General features: G+C 40.2%; 1 protein-coding gene across 7 annotated transcripts in view, besides 2 other annotated features; it reads left to right on the top strand.

Moving 5' to 3' along the window:
- Positions 5,659 to 5,708: a silencer, noted in NCBI's record as "silent region_17503". NCBI's record gives its function as "represses an Ori minimal core promoter by ATAC-STARR-seq in GM12878 lymphoblastoid cells {active_cell/tissue: GM12878}" and the evidence as "EXISTENCE:reporter gene assay evidence [ECO:0000049][PMID:35858748]".
- The window catches only part of CEP85L (centrosomal protein 85L), a 249,318-nt gene continuing 231,333 nt past the window's right edge, over positions 5,697 to 23,681 (top strand). For 4 of the 7 annotated variants that reach the window (XM_011535811.2, NM_001178035.2, XM_011535810.3 and 1 more), the window contains exon 1: positions 5,697 to 5,750. The gene's annotated coding sequence lies outside the window, so the exon portion shown is untranslated. Of the gene's footprint in view, positions 5,751 to 7,368; positions 7,564 to 23,681 lie in introns of all 7 variants that reach the window. The other 3 variants (XM_047418759.1, XM_047418760.1, XM_047418758.1) reach the window with 2 other exon arrangements.
- Positions 9,606 to 9,900: a silencer, noted in NCBI's record as "tiled region #6198; HepG2 Repressive non-DNase unmatched - State 21:Repr". NCBI's record gives its function as "represses a minimal TATA promoter and a strong SV40 promoter by Sharpr-MPRA in HepG2 cells {active_cell/tissue: HepG2}" and the evidence as "EXISTENCE:reporter gene assay evidence [ECO:0000049][PMID:27701403]".

Here is a 23,681-nt window from a genome sequence, read left to right as displayed (position 1 = left end):
ATATGCTCATGCTGAAATCTCCGTGATAACACATTTGTCAATATTTCTAGTTGTAATTTGGTTCAATAGTGATACAGGTATCAATAAGATCTGAATTAAATGTGAGATGACTGGCCTTAAATTAGAGCACAAAGGATTCAGATTAGCTCAGAAGATTTACTAAGAGGAACAATTACTAAGCACAGAAATAGGTTATTAAGGGAAGTTGTGGAATCTGTTTCTCTGGCAGTTCTTAAAATAAGACAATGAGTATCTATAGAAGAAGTTCCCAGGATCCTGACAGAAGGAAGATAGCTTTATTTAGCTGTCAAGGTCTACTCACTAAAATCATAGATACTCTGCTAAAAGTATGCGTTGAAGAGCCTTATATCCTCATATGGTTTGGCTGTGTCCCCACCCAAATCTCATTTTGAATTGTAATCCCTATAATCCCCACATAAAGAGGGAGGGACCTGGTGGGAGGTAATTGAATCATGGGGCGGGGTGGGGGAGGGTGCGGGCAGTTCCCCCATGCTGTTCTCATGATAGTGAGTGAGTTTTCATGAGATTTGACGGTTTTATAAGGCAGTTTTCCCTGCTCTTGCTAGTTCTCTCTCCTGGCACCATGTGAAGAAAGTACTTGCTTCCCCTTCACCTTCTGCCATGATTGTAAGTTTCCTGAGGCCTCCCAAGCCAGGTGGAATTGTGAGTCAATTAAACCTATTTCCTTTATAGATTATCCAGTCTCTGGCAGTTCTTTATAGTAGTGTGAGAATGGACTAATACATACCCAGGTGGCATTTTGACTCCTCAGTGTCTTACTTGCTGATGCTATTTATGATAGAAGAGTTAGAAATTCCATTTCGTGGCACGCTAGCCAGGTATGAACTGGCCGTTAGCTCATTAACTAAACTAGCAGTTAGTCATTACTAACTCTGCAGTTCTGTCTTACACACTCTGGTGATTACACCCTATAAGGTAAGGTAATTATTATTATTTCCAATAGTATAATTATTACCTACCATTTTTGAGCACTTACTATACATTAGACATTGTGCTAGTTCTTTACACATATCACATCGTTTTCCCCTCATAACAACATTTTAAGATCTGTATTATTATATCGATTTCACAGAAGTTTCAACTGAGTCTTGGAGAGGCTAAGTAACCTGCTGAAGATCATACAGCAAGATTCAGACCCAGGCCTGTCCGACTCTAAAGCCTTTGCTTTTATGTAATACAAGGTGTGGTTAATGTTTCTAAAAGCATATCAAACAGCATATAACATTGGCTCTTATATGTAGTCACATTGGGCAGCTCTACTCTTCTGTGGGTGCTCAGAAGATGCTGGGATCTCTTTTGGACTTGCCTTCATTTCCATAGGCTTTTCAGAAGTTCACAAAGAATGACATAATTTCCATCAATCCCTGAAAATTCAAATAAGGTGAGAAAGACCTTAATGAATATTGACTGTTTAATAACTTGAGGTTCTCATTAGAAAAATAAAAGTTCTGCTGCTAAATATGTTTAAAACTATAATACATTGTGACAAAAATGCTTCAATTTATTTAAGGACATGTCCTGGGGGAAAGGGAAACCTGAGGATTGTTCAAAGCCAAACCTGGTGAATTGGGTGAATAATTAATCCATTTATAAAAAATGAGGTGTGAATGATAAAATAATGATGTTGATTTTCTTACGGGACATTGTGACATAGGCATTGATTATGTAAATCCTATATTCATATCACAATTAGCTATGGCCCCATCTCTGACATCCATCTGGGAGCCCACACAATGACCTAATAACATCTCACCTTTTCAATGACCAGTATCCAAGAAAAGACCAAAATGATGACCTAAAGAAAATTCATTATTTTAGCAGCTGGTGGACTTGGGAGTAAGACAGATTGTGGAGCTGATGATACTGCATGAAATGTTTCCCCTTGTTAGCAAGATTGTCAAAAATGTGCTCCTCTGCTATTTTCTCTATCACAGAGAAGGTGGGAGGTGAGATCTTCTTCTTGGTGTCTGTAACATACATTTTCCTTACAGAAGATGTAGGTCAGTGATAAGCATGACTTTCATAAGTATATTTTGTGCCTATCATAAATGGGAACAATTTTAGCCCCATAACAAAAGAAACAGCACAATATTCTTTTTGCTAAGAATTCTGAATTTATTATATTTAAAGTCTTGATTCCGTTTCTGATGGAGATTGGGTTGTTATGCTGGTTGTCATCCACAGCCAAATGCAGCCAAAATTGGGTTTATTTTCTCTCCTTGTGCTCCTTACAAACGCTTAGCAGGTCTGAAGTTCTCTTTGTTGACAATGGCTCCATCCTCCTGTCAGCTTTCTATGATCCTAACCTTGTTAAACCTTTTCCTCTATCATTTTGTCCAGAAAAATCACCAATTCCATGATTCCTTGTCCTACAGGATTTTCAAAGCTGTGCACTGTCTCTGTTCTCACAGGTTCAGACCAGCTTGGACCTAAGCATTGTTAGTTAGACAATGGAAATAGCCTTATTTGTCTCTTGTGTCTAGCTTTCTCGGTCAGACCATCCTGGCCAGCAGCAAACATTCTTTTCATCACTTGCCTGACAAATTTAAATCAGGATTATTCAGCAAGCATTCTGTCAGCTTATTACTCATCTCATTGTCTTGTACGCCTTATTGCAGCCATCAAACCCTTCATTGTTCCATCCTTTAACCACATCCACTTCTGAGGCATCCACATACTCTTCTGCCTGCCACTTTCCACCAAGTGATCCACTTCGTCCCTTTCCAACACTGCCCAAGATTGCCCTTTGTCATGAAGTTTCCCAAGAGTATATGTGATTTCCCAAAACTCTCTTCAACATCCTTTGATCCCTTAGGCACTGAATTGTACAATATAACCAAAGGTGGAAATTAAAAAATTACATGGAATTTTGTTTGTACTTCTACCCTCACCATAAATTGTTCAAGCTTCTTTTGTCCAAGAGTAAGGTCTCCATTTTGGCACAACACCCGAACCTTGGGTGCTCTCTACACACAGGACAGGTTTCCATCAGCTCATGCTTAGTGCAGCGTCATCTTTAAAAAGCTCCACATCTTCCTTTAAAACACAGAAGTTAAAAGATCCTTTCCTGGGCTGGGCGCGGTGGCTCACGCCTGTAATCCCAACACTTTGGGAGGCCGAGGCGGGCGGATCACGAGGTCAGGAGATCGAGACCATCCTGGCTAACATGGTGAAACCCCATCTCTACTAAAAACACAAAAAAATTAGCTGGGCGTGGTGGCAGGCGCCTGTAGTCTCAGCTACTCGGGAGGCTGAGGCAGGAGAATGGCGTGAACCCGGGAGGCGGAGCTTGCAGTGAGCTGAGACCATGCCACTGCACTCCAGCCCGGGCAACAGAGTGAGACTCCGTCTCAAAAAAAAAAAAAAAAAAGAAGATCCTTTCCTGTGCTATGTAACTGAAACTTCTCTTGCTGGATTTCATCCACCCACTCAACAACTTGATCTTATTTATAAAGACTTTCCTCTGTAAGGAAATCATTGACTCTAAATCTGAGCTTTAAAATAATTCTTTTTTCTAAATCTTATTTACATGTTGAATGGCAAAAAAAAAAAAAAAAGGATTTGAGATTTTTAAAAAGCAATTTCTGTCTGCAGACAGACAAATTGTGAAACTGTCAACCTGGAGTTAAGATGCCCGTTAAGCTATTCAATTAGAATATGTTTATTTTGTTAAATAGTTGATATTTGTTAGGTAGATTCATATATTATATAAACTTATCCCCACAATAAAGCTTGGCAATGGATTTCATTATCCTCATATTATAGACAATGAAACCAAAGCTCAACACAAGGTCACCAAGTTACAGGTGGTAGAGCAAGATTGGTGCTCTGGTGTCTAGCCATCTAAGCCCAGTGTTCTTTCTTACTCCTGAACCCACAACCTCTGGTTAGCTCCAAGCCTCCTAATGAGAAGGAGGTGAAGGACCACACTGCATGACTGACAATGCTGCTGAGGTCAACAGACCTATGGGCAATGTGGCATGTTGATCAGATATTTAATTCCCAAATGGATTTGGAATTATTTCCCGGTGTTTCATTCAGTTCCACCGTTTTGTCTATTTATGAGTTAGCATACACTTTCAGTTATCAAAGCTTTATATTTCAGCATCTGGTAGAGCTAGTTCCTCCCTCATTAGACTTTTCCCCCTCAGATTTTTCTTTGTGCTTTGAATCAACTTAGTTCACAAGACCATTATGAATTTTTTTGTCATATATCAAATTTATAGCTTAAATCATGAGAGTTGACATCTTTTTTCATTTTTGAAACAGAGTTTCGCCCTCGTTGCCCAGGCTGGAGTGCAATGGCGCGATCTCAGCTCACAGCAACCTCTGCCTCCCAGGTTCAAGTGATTCTCCTGCCTCAGCCTCCCAAGTAGCTGTGATTACAGGCATGTGCCACCAAACCCCCCCGCTAATTTTTTTGTATTTTTTTTTTAGTAGAGACAGGGTTTCACCATGTTGGTCAGGCTGGTCTCGAACTCCTGACCTCAGATGATACATCTGCCTTGGGCTCCCAAAGTGCTGGATTACAGGTGTGAACCACTGTGCCTGGCCAAGAGTTGACATCTTGATAATATTTTCCATCTTCCTAATAAAACAAATAGATTTTTCCATCTGCACTAGTGTTCTTTTGTGTTTCCCAGTACTCATGTCTTTGTGGCTTTCCCAATCATAAAGGTAAATCTTTCTATCACTTTTTGAATCGTGTTTCAGTGTTGCTTTCTTTCCCTCTCTCTTCCTTCTTTCAAACAGCACATATGGGCACACATACAAACTTCATTGACAGAGTCATCGAGGGCATTTGAAAGAAATTGAAGAAAAAGGTCCAGGCCCTTTAATGACAGGCACATGATAAGGTGTTCTTTCTCTCTGGAGGAGCATGGCAGTCTGAAACACTCCGCGATCATAGCCTTCATGATGCAGGGACTTTTGTGTTTTGTTCATTGTGGTTTTTCCAAGTGCCCAGGGCAGTACTTGGCACATCGTGGCACTTAATAAATATTTGTTGAGTGAATGAAGAAAAACCCAGTACATGCCTTCCCAAATTCTACTGAAAAGCAGTTATGTTTACCACTATACTATCGATGCCACCCCAAATCCCACTGAAACAAGGCCTTTGGTTTATATTTTCTGGCAGCTGAAACTATGGGTATTTTGTTGTAGAAAGTCTGTTGAGAAGAGAAGCAGTATATAGAGTGTTATCATCTTCCCATGTTGGTTAGACTGACCTGTTTCTCCATTAGAGTATTAGTAATAAATGCCCAATGCTTTATTGAAAACAAATAACCATATTCCATTTTTGCTTCTTAGCAGCCGAAGCCTTGAGATTCACACTTGCACAATGATGTCTTTCAAACTGCATCCTGACAGATACTTCTTGAGCTGTCATAAGGCCTATGGAGAACATCCAGTCAATGTGTAGGTTAAGTTGTCAATGAACAATTATGGTTCTTCTGAGCCATGTTTTAAAGCAAGGCATTGTGCCCCTCCAGTGCTGCAGTGTGTCCGGGCTGTGTGGGATGCAAAGTGTGTGCAGGAAATACAGTCACACTGTGGTTTTACACGGAAGCTCAGGTTGCCTCTTATGAATATGTATGATGGGGCTGGATCATGCTCTTGCCACTTGAGTTTACTTGAGCTTAACTTAACCCCCACATACCCATTTCCTGCCTATCATTTGAAGACGTTCCTTGAGGAGGTTTGAAAAAGTGAGTTGTTTCTCCAATTGTGGAGCATTTTCCTTTTTTTTTCTCTTAAAGATGATGACAAACTACACCCTGATTTATTTTTATTCACTGTGAGTCATTTGCTAGTCTTATTTTATAGATAATATTTTATACCTCTTGCTTAGAAGCAGATGGGAAAGTTCAAGGAAACACCCCCTGCAACAGAGGAAAAGTACTCGGATCTAGATTGCTATGATGGTGTCCTTGCTGGAGTCCTGATAAGCAGCCCTGTCAGGGGGAAAGGAACAGATGGCAAATGGTCTTTGCAGAGCAGCATTTGGAGTGTTTTATCTTTGTTTTAGAAATGACTGTTACTCTGCATTTACTGTGAACTCTGCGTACTCCTGAGAATGCAGAAAATAAGCTGGAAAGTCTTTCCTATTATTCGTAAAACAGGTCACTGGATGTAAAGGGTACTTGGCCAACTGGGAGCGCTCTCTCTCTCTCTCTCTCTCTCTCTCACACACACACACACACACACACACGCCAATTGTTGTTACTGGTTATCTTTATGAGAGGAAATGGGGGAGGGGAGAGGAGCTCTAGCTGCTCTGTCGCCAAAAGGCAGAGCTCCAGAAAGCCGAGTGGGGAGCCGCATGCGCTGAGAAATGCCAGCATGTGTCACTTCCCAATCTGGCGTACACACTCAACTCCTGTTTGACATACTTTACAAAGCAGACAGGGACTGGCAGGGGTGTTTCCTCTGGACAAACATTAATGAGTGAGGAAATGGGCAAATGTAGGTTGCTATGCAGTTGTTTTGCTGTTGATGTGGGAGTAAAGCCAGGCAGCACTTAGACTGGGGGAATGTTCTCATGATTTCATGGAGGTCGCTACCCTCCCATAAGAGAACTCACGCTCATGGGTTTTCCTTAAATGACAGCAGTTGGGAAGAAAATGTGCCTTCGTCTTGATGTGCTGCTCTTGTTTCTCTGTGGGCTGTCAGTCCCTTTCCGAGATCTGTTAGGTACAAAATCGGGGCTATTCTATATTACCGGTTTCTAATGAACTGCCTGTTTTGTTTGCTTTTAGTGTTAGTCATTCTTTTTCTATATAACACTCATATTTTAAAAATTTCTCAACACTGTTTTTGGCATTTAAAGTTCATGATTTAAGAGCTGATGGTTTTGCCTTGTCATTAAATGGTGAAATAACAGGGTTAAAGTGAGGTTAACAGGATTTAGAACCCCTATTTGACCAGTCTTTCTTTCGCCTGAAAAATGGTAGGGAAAAGGGAGGGAGGAAGGAAGGAAGGAAAAAAGTCTATTCAAGGAAAAATCTTAAATAGGTGAGATTATTGACTGAATTCAAGTTTATCTGAGCTAAACCTTTTTATATGCTGTTCCCATGTCATACTTTATTGATTCAACACATAGCTTTCAAGAGTAGGTTCTGTGCCAGGTATACGAGAAAAACAGCATTTTGGCTACCATTTAATAATAGACTCTTTTAATTCTCTTCCTAAAAAGTAAGTTCTTTTTTCATTGTGTATCTCATATTCTGTCTCCACTGCCACTAGAGTAACTAGAGTACCTGTGACTTTTATTAACACAATTTTGTTTCGTGAAAAGTTTATGGGTTATCTTTTCCCTATATCCAGGTATCTTTACTCTGTTCAGCTATCCTGGACCACACAACTTAATCCAAGGCCTTGGAAGCATGTTGTATTTTACAGTCTTGCAAATTTGCTTTTCAGTGAAGTCTTTGCAGCCTTCCATCCCAGGCCCAGATTGCTTCTAGACACCTCGCTCATGAACTCCAGTTGCTTGTGTACTCATCTGTCTCCAGACAGGCTGTGAGTAACTTAAGGGCAGGGCCTGTGCCTTGTTCATCTGTGAAGTGATGGCAATATAGTCCGAACTTAATAAATATTTGCAGGAAGAAATGAATATTCCCAAAGATATCTTTGTCTATATATTCCGACCTTTTGGCCTTCTATTTTATAGGATTGAACTCTAAGAGTTAGTAGGTTTGTCGGTTGAAGTCTATATATGTTTTTTAAATTTTAGTAGATGCTGCCAGATTGTTTCCCCCCCGTCCCCCCCCCAAAAAAGCAACTCTTTCTCCCATATTTCTACCAGTAATAGGTTGTATTGGTCTTTTAGATTTTTGACAGTTTAGTAGCTATAAAGTGATATTGCAATGTTTAATTTTTATTTTCCTGGCTATAAGTGAGCTTGAGTATCTTTATATATGTTCATTGGTTCAGATTTGCTGTTCCGTGAATTAAGGTTTTACGTATTTTGCCTATTTTAATACATAAAAGTTTGCACATGTTTAAATATATTTACAAGCAAAAAGTATAAAACTCCTATACCTAAAAATTTCAAGCCACTTTACCTAAAAATTTCTATGTATCCTACAGAAATACTTAGATATATAAACAAAAATAAATGCATAAGCATCTCATTAGCACATTCTTTGTAATAACAGAAAATGAAGTTTAATAAAAAGGAAGTAGTTTAGTAAGTGTTGGTGCTTCCTCACTGTAGAATTGAATGAGGAGCTAAAAAGAATGAGGTAAGGCCAGGTGCAGTGGCTCATGGCTATAATCCCAGCACTTTGGGAGGCCGAGGCGGGAGGATTGCTTGAGCCCAGGAGTTTCATTCCATCCTGGGCAACATGGCAAAATTTTATCTCTACAAAAAATACAAAAATTAGCTGGGCATGGTGGCACACACCTGTAGTCCCAGCTACTGGGGAGGCTGAGGTGGTGAGAGGATCATCTGAGCCTGGGAAGTTGAGGCTGCAATGAGCTGAGGCTCCAATGAGCTCAGTCTGGGTGACAGAGTAAGAGCCTGTCTCAAAAAAGAAAAAAAAAAAAAAAGCAGATGAGGAGGAATATGAGAAGGAAACCCAGGAGGACTGCTGGGACCAGCCTGGAGGGACCAGTACTTGGGGTCACAGAGTTGGAATGGCATCCATGGCAGAGTTGTGATCTCTCTCCAGGAGAGATAGCCTGGGCTCAGACAGGGAGATATGAAGATGAACTCATTGAAGTTTGGGGATTTGCCAGGCCAATGAGGGGCAAGGGAACTGAGATACTGAAGAGAATGGTTAAAGGGATGGCTCATGAGAGCTCCATGGGGTAGGGAAGCAGTGAAGTGAAGAGGACACTAATAGGGAAAGAATTCCAGGACTGGAATCACAAAGCGAGAGTCTTTTTGGGGTGTGGGAAGAGTAGCTAAGCGAGAAGTGGAAGAGGAGGGGATTGTGATTGGAGAGAAAAGTTCCCTATAAGACTAGACCACATTGATGAGGAGGACGGAAAGGAAAAAAGGAATTAGATGTTCAAAAATGTAAGAAAAGAAAATATGACATGGTGGCGTTTCCTGATATCTCAAGTTGAGAAAAGAAAGTTAAAAGAGAAGTGAATACTGGAAGACAGTGAAGGTTTTGTATAATTTAAAGTAAGTGGCACATAAAATAAAAATTCCAGGAGGTTCAAATGTATGTTTCATCAGTTGAGGTTACCCTAAGATAAAAGTTGAAATTATGTTAAAACTTTCTGAAACTCTCAGAAGACCTAACATCTCAAAGGGGCTAGATTCTAGAAAGAAAAAGCTTGCCAATTCCAGTTCTGGCTAGGCATTCTTAGAATACCTTAGAGTAGGTTTTAGTCTTACAGGGTTTCTGCTTTCAGAATATCAACAGGTCTTGACAAATAAAGCTTTTGAAATTTCCCTCTACTGAAATGCTCCATCTGCATTTCAGGATAGTGATGGAAATGCATCAGCTTCATTTCTGGCACTTTGATTGATGAACTTAGACTTCAATATGAAGAAAACCACTGTTCTTCTATCTAGAAAATGAAACTAAAAATAATCCCCTTGTCAGAGTGTCTGTGTTCTGTGGTTAAATTTAAGGCAACTTATTGAGTATTCATTACATGCTGGATACGAGCCCTTCCCTGACAGAGAGCACAGAGCACTACCAGAGGAGCTGGGACACACACCTACATAGACGGCCGTGATACTTCTTAAGAAGCAGCTCCCAAATCTACCCAATTAGCACAGTGCTCACTGTGGGCAAAAAGCTGAGAGCAACAATGTGGGGGCGGGCTTAGCAGGAAAGGCCTCCCAGGCATTGCATAAATGCAAGAGGTCAGAGAAAGAATTCACACCAGGCAAGGAAATTATTTATGGTATTGCAAGGGTGAAAAGATTTTTTTTCAAATCTCCTGGTATCTCTGTTACTCTGCCCTAGTGTTTGGACATATGGAGTTACCATTCCCATTAAATTATTAAAATGTGCCAGAAGACTTGGAATCCCTCAAGAGCATATTGTGAGAAGGGCTCACACACCTCCAATTATGCCTTTGGCACAAGTGCCATGTCAGATTGATGTCTGGAAAAGGATTGAGATTTGGAAAACCACATAATGATTTCTTGTATTGTTTTATCCTTCATTTTGTGCAAATCACACTTACCATGCCATTAGTAGCTTCCTCACAACTCAACAATGTTAAGAGGGACTTGCTAGCTAACTTGATCCCTAATGGAAACCTTTTACTAGGGAGGGCTGGATTTGGTTCCGGGGTCAAGGCAAACACCCTTCAATGAGCCCATGCCATGCCTTGTAACTATATTTTAAACATTTTCATTGTTCCTTCTGCAGAAATTATATCTCTTCCTCCCTTCTGCAAATTGTCCAAGCCCAAAAAGATATTTTGTGCTTATTTAGTGTTATCTCACAGTCTGGGGCAAATTATCAATAAAACAAGAAGCCAAAATCTAATAAGAAAAGGCAGGATATGAGAGGGTATGCATCTCTGCTGCATGAAGAGAAGACAGCAGCACCTCTCGTTTTCTTTTAGAGACTGTTCGGCCCCATGAGTTTATTAAAACAGAAGAAATAAGTTGAAAATGGAAAAGGGTGTGTGTGGGTGATGTGGTTACTTAGCAACAGGGAAGCTTCCGGCTGATGTTCTGAATTGAACAAAGAAAAACAGGACAGCAGGGAATAAAGGAATGGGGAAAAAATGAAAGGGAGTAAAACAGATGTGGTTGGGAGAGAGGGCTAAGAAGGGGTGAAAAATAAAAGTCAGGGAAAAAGCATGAACAGAAATGTGGTAAATACTTAGAAACAGGAAGCCTGTGAATTTTTAAAAATGGAAAAAAAAGCCACTGAAAGAAAGGTGAAAATAGCCAGAAGGGTAAGAAAACATCTGCAGTGGAAGCTGCTAGGCAAATGGAGGAATAAAATGCCCCAGCGCCATGAACTCTTAGCTTAAAACTAGGCTCTTTTGGCCAGGCGTGGTGGCTCAAGCCTGTAATCCCAGCACTGTGGGAGGCCGAGGCAGGAGGATCACTTGAAGTCAGGAGTTTGAGACCAGCCTGGCCAACGTGGTGAAACCCTGTCTCTACTAAAAATACAAAAATTAGCCGGGCATGGTGGCGGGTGCCTGCAATCCCAGCTACTCGGAAGGCTGAGGCAGGACAATCACTTGAAAACCCAGGAGGCGGAGGATGCAGTGAGCAGAGATCAAGCCACTGCACTCCAACCTGGGCGACAGTGCAAGACTTTGTCTCAAAACAAAAAAGCAAAACAAAACAGAACACTAGGCTGTTTTGTGGTGTGTGAGGTCACACCAGGGTGCACCTGAGGCAAGGGGCCCAGAACAAACCCCAGGCCACCAGTCTGTTGAGTCCACTCAGAAAATGAGCCAGTGGGCAGGGTAGCTCCAGGGATATTTTTATAACATTTTATTATAGGCATGAACCCTTAGAATGACCCTAAAATAACATGCCCCCAAAGGGAAATTCCAAAAGAATTGGATGTTAGTCAAGAAAACTTCTAATTTCATCTTTGATTCCTCCAAAGAGTTTGGTATAATGTCATAGCCCAGAGTAGGTCAATAATTACAGATAGGTATGCCTTTTCCCAGTGACTTTGTCATGCCAGTTACATGATATCTGGTAGGCATGTGTGTGCTTATTTATATTACATGGCAGGTATAGTTTGCTTCTATATTTGTCTCTTAAAAGGGCTACCATGTTTCCTAGCCCATCCTCTATATTTTTTGATCATTCACATATGCGTATAAAAAATTTTTGAGCATTTGCTCAACAGAGATACATTTTTATTCATGAATTATATACATGTATTATCTAATAATACATGGGTCATTAGAATATGATGTACATATTAATAATGAGATACAGATAACATTAAATATATTTTTAAAATTTTAATTGGTTAAGGATTTTATTTTATTAATGGAGCTTTCACCTCCCCAACTTCACTTTCATTTCCCCACACAACCCTCACCCAAAAGTACCTACCAGATATAATACAAGAGCATATGGTAGGGGCTCATAAAGCGTTTGCAGTAAACAGGAGAGGAATAGCATTTTCCCAGTCCCTGCTCTGAGCCATCGCATTATATTTTACAGGGATGCGTGAAGTTACATACTTATATTTCACTCCCATAGAGATTATATGCTATTTTTGTTTTTCTGCATATAAAATAGGACTGAGTTTTTAAGTTATTCCTCTTTGAAAAAGTTATCTGGTGGGGCACGGTGGCCTATGCCTGTAGTTCCAGCACTTTGGGAGGCTGGGTGGGAGGCTCACTTGAGGCTAAGAGTTCAAAAAGCTTTTATCTATAATGTTTGATTTCTAATTAAGTATGGTTGAATAACAACACACTTCAAATCCCAGTAAAATGATAGAACATGAATCCTTATGAAAGGGTTGGTATATCAGTTATTTATTACTGCATAAAGACTACCTCAAAACTTAGTGGCTTAAAATAACGATTTATTTGCTCAAAAAAGACAAAAAGAAAGAAAAAATAAGCAAACAAACAAATAAATAAAATAAAGAAAGAACTACAGAAATAGTAATCCCCCCCACCAAAAGACTGATTTATTTGTTTTGCTAGGTTCTCTTGAGGTCTTATTCAGAAGTCACAAATCGTCACTTCTGCAGCATTCTATTGGTCAAAGCAAGTTATAAGGACAGCTTGAATTTAAGGGGTGGTAAAATGAACTCTAGCTCTTTTTTTTTTTTTTTTTTTTGAGACAGAGTCTCTCTTTGTCGCCCAGGCTGGAGTGCAATGGAGCCATCTCGGCTCACTGCAAGCTCCGCCTCCCAGGTTCATGCCATTCTCCTGCCTCAGCCTCCCGAGTAGCTGGGACTACAGGCGCCCGCCACCAAGCCCGGCTTATTTTTTGTATTTTTAGTAGTGACGGGGTTTCACCATGTTAGCCACGGTAGTCTAAATCTCCTGACTTCGTGATCCGCCTGCCTCAGACTCCCAAAGTGCTAGGATTACAGGCGTGAGCCGCCGTGCCTGGCCAACTCCAGCTCTTGATGAAAAAAGTTGTAAACAATTTTGTAACCATTTTAAATTCACCAGACTTGGAAAATGTTAACTTGTTTTAGAAAGTGTAGGTTTTATCAAAAGGTCTATATAAAGAAATGCACACACTACTTTTTTCTCCCACTTATTTCATTTCAACTAGTTTGTAACTGAAATTGCAATTAATTGTTTTTCTTTTTGAGATGGGGTCTCCCTCTGTTACCCAAGCTGGAGTGCAGTGGTGCAATCACAGCTCATTGCATCCTTGACCTCCCAGACTCAAGGGATCCTCTCACCTCAATTTTCTGAGTAGCTGGGACCACAGGTGCATATCACCACGCCTGGCTAATTTAAAATATATTTTGTAGAGATGGGGTCTCCCTATGTTGCCAAGGCTGGTCTTGAACTCCTGGGCTCAAGCAATCCTCCCACCTCAGCCTCCCAAAGTGCTGGGATTATAGGCGTGAGCCACTGTGTCCAGCCAAAATTTTTAAAATTTAGGTAAATAACAGGTAGTCATTTTGTAGATATACATCCAATTAGTCATAGTGAATGATTAAAAAAAAAAAAGAATAGAATTTCCACCATAAAGTAAAAGCCCTACTATTCCAAAGTGGAGCTATCTACGGAGAGTAAATATAAAGCAAAATATTAATGCATGTATTTCCAAGATTGAGCATTAGCCCTAAAATGCTATATTACTGTTATTCTTCTCTGCCTACTGGATGAGAGAGAACATTTTTAGCTTCAATAGATGTTCCATCATATGGACCTTTTCTCTTCCTCCTTCCTAATAGAAACCCCAATTTTATTCAGGCATTTGACCTATCCTTATGTATAGGAGTAAATGTTATTAGAATGAACCATCATGTGAATTTCTTCTCCCTTGCTGGTGACTGGTTCAGGAACCCAATCTTCTTTGTTTTTTTTCCAACTTTAATTTTAGATTTGGGGGTATGTGTGCAGGTTTTTTATCTGGGTATATTGCATGATGCTGAGGTTTGGGGTATAATTGATCCCATCACCCAGGTACTGAACATAGCACCCAACAGTTTTTCAACCCTTGCCTTTCTCTCTCCCTCTCCCTTCTAGTAGTTTTCAGTTTCTATCATTGCCATCTTTATGTCCATGAATACTCAATGTTTCACTTCCACTTATAAGTGAGAATATGTGGTATTTGGTTTTCTGTTCCTACATTAATTTGCTTAGGATAATGACCATAAACTGCATCCATGTTGCTGCAAAGGACACGAACTTGTTCTTTTTTATGGCTGTGTAGTACTCCGTGGTGTATATGTACCACATTTTCTTTATCCAGTCCACTGTTAATGGACATCTAGGTTGATTTCATGTCTTTGCTATTGTGAATAGTGCTGTGGTGAACATATGAGTGCATGTGTTTTTTTGGCAGAATGATTTATTTCGGATATATACCCTGTAATGGGATTACTAGGTCGAATAGTAGCTCTAAGTTCTTTGAGAAATCTCCAAACTCCTTTCCACAGTGGCTGAACTAATTTACCTTCCAACCAACAGTGTATAAGCGCAGGAACCCATCCTCGAAAGCTGTCCAATGAATGCCGTTTCCATGGTGGCTCTTAACAATGTAGAAATGGCAAATCACTCTGAATGGGAGGACTTGTATCCTGTGGCTTTGGGATTATGTCTCTCCTACAGAATGTACATAGGAAGCGTTATGCTCTGGTGGCCACCCTAACAACCAAGAGGGATTCCCTCCTGAGGACAAAGCTAATTCCCAGAGAGCAGAACAAGAGAACTGAAGAAAAACAGGGCCAGAACCTGCATGTAGCACTGCTGAAGCCCACCTTGCCTCAGAATCCTTACTATGTTACATAATAAACATGCAGACTCTTGAGGCCAATTTCACACAGGTTTTACCATTTTTAGCCCAATGAGCCTTCCTGTCTGATGATGCTGTTACTGTCAGGGGTTCTCAGTACTCTCACTTGAGAAAGTCTAGGGAACAGTTTCGCAAGGCAAGTCACTTCTCCTCACATCCCACTCCCACTGTCTCTCAAGATCACCAGAACTGCGTGTAGATTCAGATCCCATATGCCTCAGGAGTTCAACTGCAAAGCCAAATTCAAGAGCAGAAGATGTTCTCACCAAAGGAATTGAAAGAGTGCTAAGGTATGCTGGCATAATATGGAGAATATGTGTGGAAATGGATTGAGAGTACTAGACCAAGAAAGGAAGAGCATAACTATAGATCACACAGAATTCAGCAATAGGGATACACTTATTGGAGATTCTGGATTTAAGGTGCTGGCTTAAGCAGCTGCAAGTTGTGTAAATTATTTGCTCTCTTGAGCTGTGCTCAGTAGTATTTCATTCCAAATGAACAGGAAATGCTAGACATTTTTGTAAGAATACAGGTGAAGGAAGCCAACAGGTTATGGAGATGAGAATATTGGGGTAGATTATCACATGTGAACTACACGCTTATTCCCTAACAGTCTCCTTCCTCTAGAAGGAGGAAGAAATGCACAGAAAACCTTTTTTATACCAGGGGCTCAAGAATTGCATAGGTATCTTAAAAGGCATTTTGGTGGTTTTCATGTGCTGGGGTAAAAAGAGAATACTCTGTGGTTGAAAAGGGCTCCTGATTTCAACAGTGACACTGATGGAAAAGGACAAGTAGTGGCACCTAACTGGCAAAGTTAAGGTGGGCATGCTCCTATAATAATAGCAGTAGAGGCCGGGTATGGTGGCTCACGCCTGTAATCCCAGCACTTTGGGAGGCTGAGGCGGGCAGATCACTTGAGGTCAAGAGTTCAAGACCAGCGTGGCCAACATGATGAAACCCTGTCTCTACTAAAAATGCAAAAATTAGCTGGGCGTGGTGGTGCGTGCCTGTAGTCCCCGCTACTCGGGAGGCTGAGGCAGAAGAATCACTTGAACCCAGGAGGCGGAGGTTGCACTGGGCCGAGATCATGCCATTGCACTCCTCCAGCCTGCATGACAGAGTGAGACTCTGTCTCAAAAATAATAATAATAATAGTAGTAATAATAATAATAATAGCACTAGAGCTGGTATGGCATTCAAAATGATACATCCTTCAAACATCTCCAGAAATCTTTTACATATAATGGAGTTACAAAGATAAAAACAGATGAGCAGCCCACCAGGGGCCTAATTCAGTTGAATAATGGAAAATACTCCAGGATTAGTGGCTGTAGCTTTGGTGTTGTGTTCGTTAACTCAGTCGTTCTGGTAGGGTCTTTTTTTTTTTTTTGAGACAAGGTCTTGCTCTGTCATCCAGGCTGACATGCAGTGGTGTGATCACGGCTCACTACAGCCTTGACCTCCTGGGCTCAAGTGATCCTCCCACCTCAGGCTCCTGAGTAGCTGGAATTTCAGGGACGTGCCACCATGCTCGGCTAATTGCTTAATTTTTTTATAGAGATGGGGGTCTTGCTATGTTGCCCAGGCTGATCTCAAACTCCTGGGCTAAAGTGATCCTCCCACCTCAGCCTCCCAAAGTGCTGGGATTATAGGCATGAGCCACTGCACCTGGCCCATGGTGCCCTTCTGATACTTGCCTCCCCAGTCTTTCCAATGATTTTATAAGCACTTAATTCTCTGTCTTAAGACTCTTTGTATTTAAAATACTTAGAGTGGTCCACTGCGCTGAACACAAATGCATTCTAATAAGCCCCTGAACCCTCGCTAGGATTATTTTCAGTTTCCGGGCATATTATTAGTAAAAATAACCTCAGTAAATGGCAGAATTCTGACACTGACCCTCTGACCTATAGAATAGAGTTTAACACAGTTATCATGGTTAAGAATGACTTTGTGAAAGCTCAGGGGTTACCGTCACTGTCAAAATAGTAAATCAAAAAATATTCTGTTATACTTCATTGAAAAAATTATTGTAATTTTTTTGCACTACATTCCTGGGGAAATCATAGAGCTGAAGGTCACTGTGCTTCCTATCACATCCCCACTTAATTCTTCAACTGCTGGCCAGTGCAAAAGATGGATCAGTCTTAGATAATTCTAGGGGATAACTGTAGGCTAAGTCAAGTGGAAACTTGTCTTTCAAGTACATATGATCTTTCAAATGTAGTATCCTTATCACAGTGAATCAAGACATACTATGGGATATTGATTGCAGCGTTCATCTGGACAATCCTTTTTTTTTTTTTCTGCTTCAGCAAACACAGAAAGCACATCAGAAGTAGTTTGACTTTACCTAAAACAGCAGAACTATATTTTCAACTCAGAGTTATGTTACTTCTCCATTCTCTGTGCCATAAGTTGCTCTAAAGGAACCTGGTCATCTCATCATCCAGGGATATGCTGAAGATAACATTCTGATGACTCTGGAGAACAGCAAGTGGCTAGTATTTTAGATTAAGACCATGCATGCCAGAAAGTAGAAATAAATCTCATGATAATTCAATGATGTTTCTTGGGATCCAGTGTTGCATGACATGTGAGTTTATACTTTCAGTGTCAAGGACAATTTATTTCCCACCTCTAGGAAAAAGTACTATGTGGGATGGTGGTCTCTGGATTTTAGAAGCAACATATGTCTCATTTTGTGTGCCCTTCAGCTCCTTTTCTTGAGTGATCTGAAAGGCTAACAGCTTTGAGTAGGGCCCAGAGGAATGCTCCAGCTGGTCCAGGCTGCAGCTTTTTTTATATGGCCCTTAGGACCCAGTGGGACCAGTGGTACTCAAAAATCAAATGAGTCTGCAGAAAGAGTGAATACGAAGTTCGCAGCAGGAACGTCAGGGTTCTAGAGCAAAGCTATAACTTCTTCAGTGAGTAGCCATTCATTCTTCTTTGAAGGAATAGCACTTGGCTTAATACTGGGCCCAGATAGAAACCAGATGACTGTGAAACACAAGCTGCCTATCATGAAGTGAATGTTATCTGATCTACACAGCTATAAAGTCAGACATATTCGAGTGGAAATAGTATATATGTGAGTGCATCTGAGCATGTCCTGAGAGCTCAAGTTTCATATACTGATGGCTCTTCTTCCTGGCATTCATCCTCATGCCACACCGCCACCTCTCTGCCAACCATCATGACTTCATGAATAGTTCTCCATTACCAGTTAACTGAAGAAAACTAGCATAGTTTACATATAGCTCTGAGAGTAAGCTGGCATCACTAAAAGTAAATGTACAAAATAGATTACTGAAGTGCTACTCAGTTCCACTCAGTCCCACCAAAGTGAAGGTGGAGAAGGAAAATTATCCTAGTATGCAGAGCTTGAGTGGTATATCGTCCTTGATTTTTCCAGCAAGAGAGAAATGCTGATGGACAGTAACAAATAGTTTGGTCAGATTTTCATGGAAGTGGAAAGATAAAGACCAGAGGACTGGTGACAAGTGTCTGGATGGGTCTCAAAATGGGACTATCATACGAAGACATTTGGGATTCATATAAGTGTGACAACATTGGTTGTCAATCCAATAGCTATACCCCTTCTTTGTGAACAAAACTTCAGATTTGTACAGGTGTCCAAGCTCCTCCATGTGACTTTATGCTCCAGAGAAGGCTGACCACACCTCTACGCTTGCAGGTGAATCAGTGAATCTAAGTGATCATGGTGATTCTGTTTCCCTCGTGAGCCTCAAAAAGGGCCATACAACCCCATTTTAGCCAATGAGAAATTGAAGGGAGTCTGCTGTGGGGTTAGTTCAATGGGAGTTTCTTTATCTATTAAAATGCAAACAATAAATAGTCCCCTTTTCTGCCTTTAGATGTTAGTGTGAAGATGTCTCTCCTGAAGTACCTTAGTCTTCTTATGACTATGAAAGAAGCTAAGGTAATATGCTCAGGATGGCAAAGCAAAAAGATGGGAAGGACCTGGATCCTTAATAAAATTGTTGAGCTATCTAATCAACTACCTCTTGCACCACCCTATCTTAGAACGTTTTAACATGTGAAGTAATAAATTCTTAATGGTTTATATCAACTGTCCAAGGTTTTTATTTTTTTGAAGTCAAAAATATCTTAACTGCTAACAACAACAACAACAACAACAAAAAACTCTGTGGAGGTTTAGTAAACCAGTGGACAAAATAATCCACTCTGCAAATGTTAGTCATTCTTCTTCCCCATTGATCCTGGGGCTCACTCAACGGGCTCATGAACAAAGTGTCTACAGCAACTTGGATGCAGAGTATGCACAAGCTCAACAATATGGACCTTTCATCACCAATGCTGGCTGTCACTGCTGATTGCCCAACTTGCTAGCAGCAGAAATAAATCTTGAACCTCTGACATGATATCATATCCCAGGAGGACATTCAGCCACAGGGAGGCAGGTTAATTTATTGGCTGTCTATCATCACAGAAGAGATAGAAATTCATCCTTACTGTACTATTACTTATTCTGGATTTGGATTTATTTTCCTGTCTAACATTTCTTTTTCTTTTTCTTTTTCTTTTTCTTTTTTTTTGAGACAGAGTCTCGCTCTGTCACCCAGGCTGGAGTGCAGTGGTGTGATCTCAGCTCACTGCAACCTCCTGGGTTTAAGCAATTCTCCTGCCTCAGCCTCCCGAGTAGCTGGAATTACAGGCATGTGCCACCACATCAGGCTAATTTTTGTATTTTTAGTAGAGACAGGTTTTCACCATGTTGGCTAGGCTGGTCTCGAACTCGTGACCTCAGGTGATCCGCCTGTCTCGGCCTCCCAAAGTGCTGGGATTACAGGCGTGAACCACCATGCCCCGCCTCCTAACATTTGTGTCTGACACTTGCTAGTACAACCATCCTGTATATACTAAATACCTCTTACAAAGGGGGATCATATCTGGTTCACCCAAGTCAGTTCCAGTTTGTTGCTGTTGTCCTGGTGTAATTAGTAGCCCTCATCACCCTCAAAAGCACCCCAGTTCAGATGACAAATTATAAAGGCATCTTACTTACATACCATCATGGTATCTTGTACACATTACTTTTTATCTGGACAGCCATTTTTAATTAAATAAGCAGTAGAGCTTATGTTTATGGCTTACCATATGTTTATTAACTAGAAATAGACGAACAGCTATAAGACAAAATGCAAAATTGTGGCACTGTCCTGTAGAATGTGTTATATTCTCTGAACCAGTAGTTCTCAAAAGGTGATCCCAAGACCAGCAACATCAGCATCACTTGGGTACTTGTGAGAAATGCAAATAATCTAGTTTCATCCTAGAACTACTGAATTGGGAAGTCTTGGAGTGGGCACAGCAACTGATGTTTAAACAGACCCTCTAAAAAAGTATTGGTGCATGTTAAAGTTTGAGAGCCACTGCTCTGAAATATCAACCAAAAAATGTTGCTCTTTTTCCCTCATAGCCACAATACACCCTAAAAACCAAGCTGTGGAAGTAGGAGTTGGTGACTCATTGTTACTTCTAATGATCCATTTGCAAATTATTTACTTCTCATTTCTGTAATTCTGAACCTTGCTCGTTTAGAGGTTTTAGTACCTCAAAAAGAAGATGCATCCACCAGGGGAGAAACAGTATTCCATTGAATAAGAAGCTGAGATTGCCATTTGACCATGCTTATATCTTCTAATAACTTGGTAAGCAGGATAAAATGGTTTATGCTATTGGATTAAATGATTGATCACGTCTATAGAGAGTAAATGGTGTTGCTTCTAATGATTAGAAGGAAAGAGTATGGGTGGAACAAAGAGGGTCTCTGGGGTAACTTCCACACTGCCATGTCTACAATAAAAATTTAATGAAAGATTGCAACAACCTTACATAAACAAGACCACCTTTTGGCTCTGATCCCTTAGTAATAAAAGTCTAGGTCACTCTACCAGGGAAAGAATACTGACAATCCGAGATGTGGACTGGAGGGAAAGGGAACATGGGATGGCTGGTGAAATAAGGAATTTGTTGCTATATGGCAACTGCCAATTTGTAATCAATTGCAGAAACGTATATTGTAGTATCTGCCCCCACTTTTTTTTCTGTATCATGTACTGTATTTCATTGACTCTCCAAGGCATATTTATGTACCTTTATTTCTATGAAAGAAAAACACTTCCCACTGAACTATGATGTGATGCTGCTTGCTTTCACTTAGAATTTTTACTTTATACCTCGAGAGAGAGATTGTAGGGGTTTTAGACACAAATTTCCATCACATGTCACTCTTCTGCAAACACTAAAATTTTTCTAAAAAATCAGTTAAGGTAATACTAAGGCAAGGAGAATTACATCACAATTGCCACCCAGTTGATAGCAATTATAAGATGCCATTGGTTGATTTCAGACATGGTAAATTATTGGAAAAATGTATTTTAAATTGGTAAAATATGATACATATTTATATTTTAACTAATTTTCCTTTTATTTTTTCTTTCTCATCATTATTTTATATTAAGTGGTGGTAATGAATTTGAACAATGTAATCCATAGTTTATATCAAGATGGGATTATGATTGAACTGGGAGATGAATGAACATCATTACCCAGAAGTTCTGGACTTGAAGCTGGATGCAGTAACTGATTACATTTTGGTTTCTCTTGGGAGAGGAGTTGAATGTGTTTTTTGCTGTTTTGGATATATCTGCATCGTATTAGGTAGACACATAAGTAAAGATAAATAAAGAAGAGAATATATGTAGTTAGGCATTCAAAGGTGTGGACTGTAGTGGTCACTGTTTTTATGGGTTTTTTTCCCCTCCTTCTGTTTGGGAAATTCCTCACTTCCTTTTGAGTCTTGCTGGAAGTCACACCTCACCATTCACCCCAGAAGCCCAAAATGCTAGATACTTACTTTCCAGTCCTCCATGCAACATGGGTATATACTCTAGATTCAAACCTATGGACTTTGAAATTGGGGGCTAATTTTGCAAACATGAAGAGAGAAGGGAACATTTCTGCTTGTGACTGTAGCAGCAATGTCTAGTTTCTAAAGATAGCATGGCCAGCCACATCTACAGTAGTATCCAACACATAATGCCAATTGGGCCAGCTGTGATATCTGATGCTAAGTGGCAGCAGCAGCAACGTCCACATAGGACCAGCTTTGTGATATGATTTTGGTTGTATCTCTGGGTGCACAACCTCTGGGCCTGTTTGCTGTCCTGGACAGTGCAGGCTAACCAATAGCCTTTCAATAAATCCTTTTTCTGCCCATATCAGGCAGAGTCCATTTGTATTGTTTGCAGTGAGGCTCCTTGGATGACATAGATCTTCTGTATCATAAGATATTGTTCCAAAAATTATTTTTGCAGCACTAACATTGGTTTCAGAATGAAATGTTTCTTTACAAGTTTTACTTTTTGATAATATTAAAAGTTAAGAAAGACAAATGTTCATCCACCTACCAGTAGTATTGTATGGGTCAATCTCCAGCTGGTATAAAAAATTAAGGAGGAAAATAGCTCTCTTTAAAAGCATGGAAATTTTTAAGAAATGTATTAATAATTGACTCAATGAAAACAAAATATGAGGTTTGGAAATGGAAAGTAAAGGCAATTCCTTCCATAAAGCTGTGGTGCTAGCCCTTCACTGTACTTGCTACTGTTCCAGAGGAGCAAATGGGCAGCATTCTTAGTCTCACAGAGATTTTTAAAATTTATCATTGGACTATTATTGTTTATAAACTGAATGCAGTAATTTCAGCTGCTTTTCAACAAGTTGGGTTAGAGGTCTCTGCTTTCCTTCTGCCGCATCTCAGCAGCTGGATCACATGAGTACCACCTTCAGAATCTTTCTATGCCTCTTTTTTAGGCCCAATTCTAATCTGAGGTAAGAATATAAATAGCCCCAACCTCACATTTTGGCCTACTATGTGCTGGGCATGCTTCTAAGTAACAAGGGTGATGCATCTTCCAAAAGCCACAAAGTTTAAGCTTTAGTGGAACTACCTTATGATTTCCTGCCTGCCAGCAAAAATCCGTGAAGCCCCCTTCTATCATTGTATCTATACTTCTATCAATGTATCTATGTCTTGTTTCTTCTGCCCTTAACTAGCTCACTGCCATCTCTTCCCAAGTCTGAAAGTGTGGTGGGAAGTCTTAATAGATTTTTAGATTAAAAGAAATTGAGCATTGTTGCTTTTCTTATTTGGGATGTTAATCTTTTTCTTTACTTTAGATGTCTTATTTTATGCTTTCATATAATTGGCGTGATACATTTATGCCTTCCTTAATTAAATAAAACCCAGATGTTTCAAAGTAGTCAATGAGAGAGCATCTCTTCTTGATAGGGGAGGTTGACCTTACAGTCCCAACTACTAGCTTGAAACACTCTCCTCAGGGATTATTTTGACTGTATCACCTGCTGACCTCGAAAGGCAAAAACTAATGCCCTGCTTTCAGTGCTTTGTCCCATATATGGACATATAGTTCTTCCTTGCATACCATTTAGTTCAACTGAGGCAGAATTGATGCCCAATTAAGCTTTACTGAAGGTTAGAATGTAACAAAATGGCAACAAGTACTATGAGTAGGACCATGAAACAAAATACTCTAACATATATTGCATAGCTTATTCGTCTTCAGTTTTTAACCCATTGCAGGGCTCTTTCCTTCCTTTCTTGAGGTCTGTTTCTGCAAGTACATATTCTCAAATATTTGGCCTTGTCATCATTAAGACCCAGAAAGGG

This window comes from Homo sapiens, chromosome 6 (genome assembly GCF_000001405.40).
Source record: "Homo sapiens chromosome 6, GRCh38.p14 Primary Assembly".
NCBI classification, from domain to species: domain Eukaryota; kingdom Metazoa; phylum Chordata; class Mammalia; order Primates; family Hominidae; genus Homo; species Homo sapiens.
This window is presented reverse-complemented; position numbering and strand designations above follow the sequence as displayed.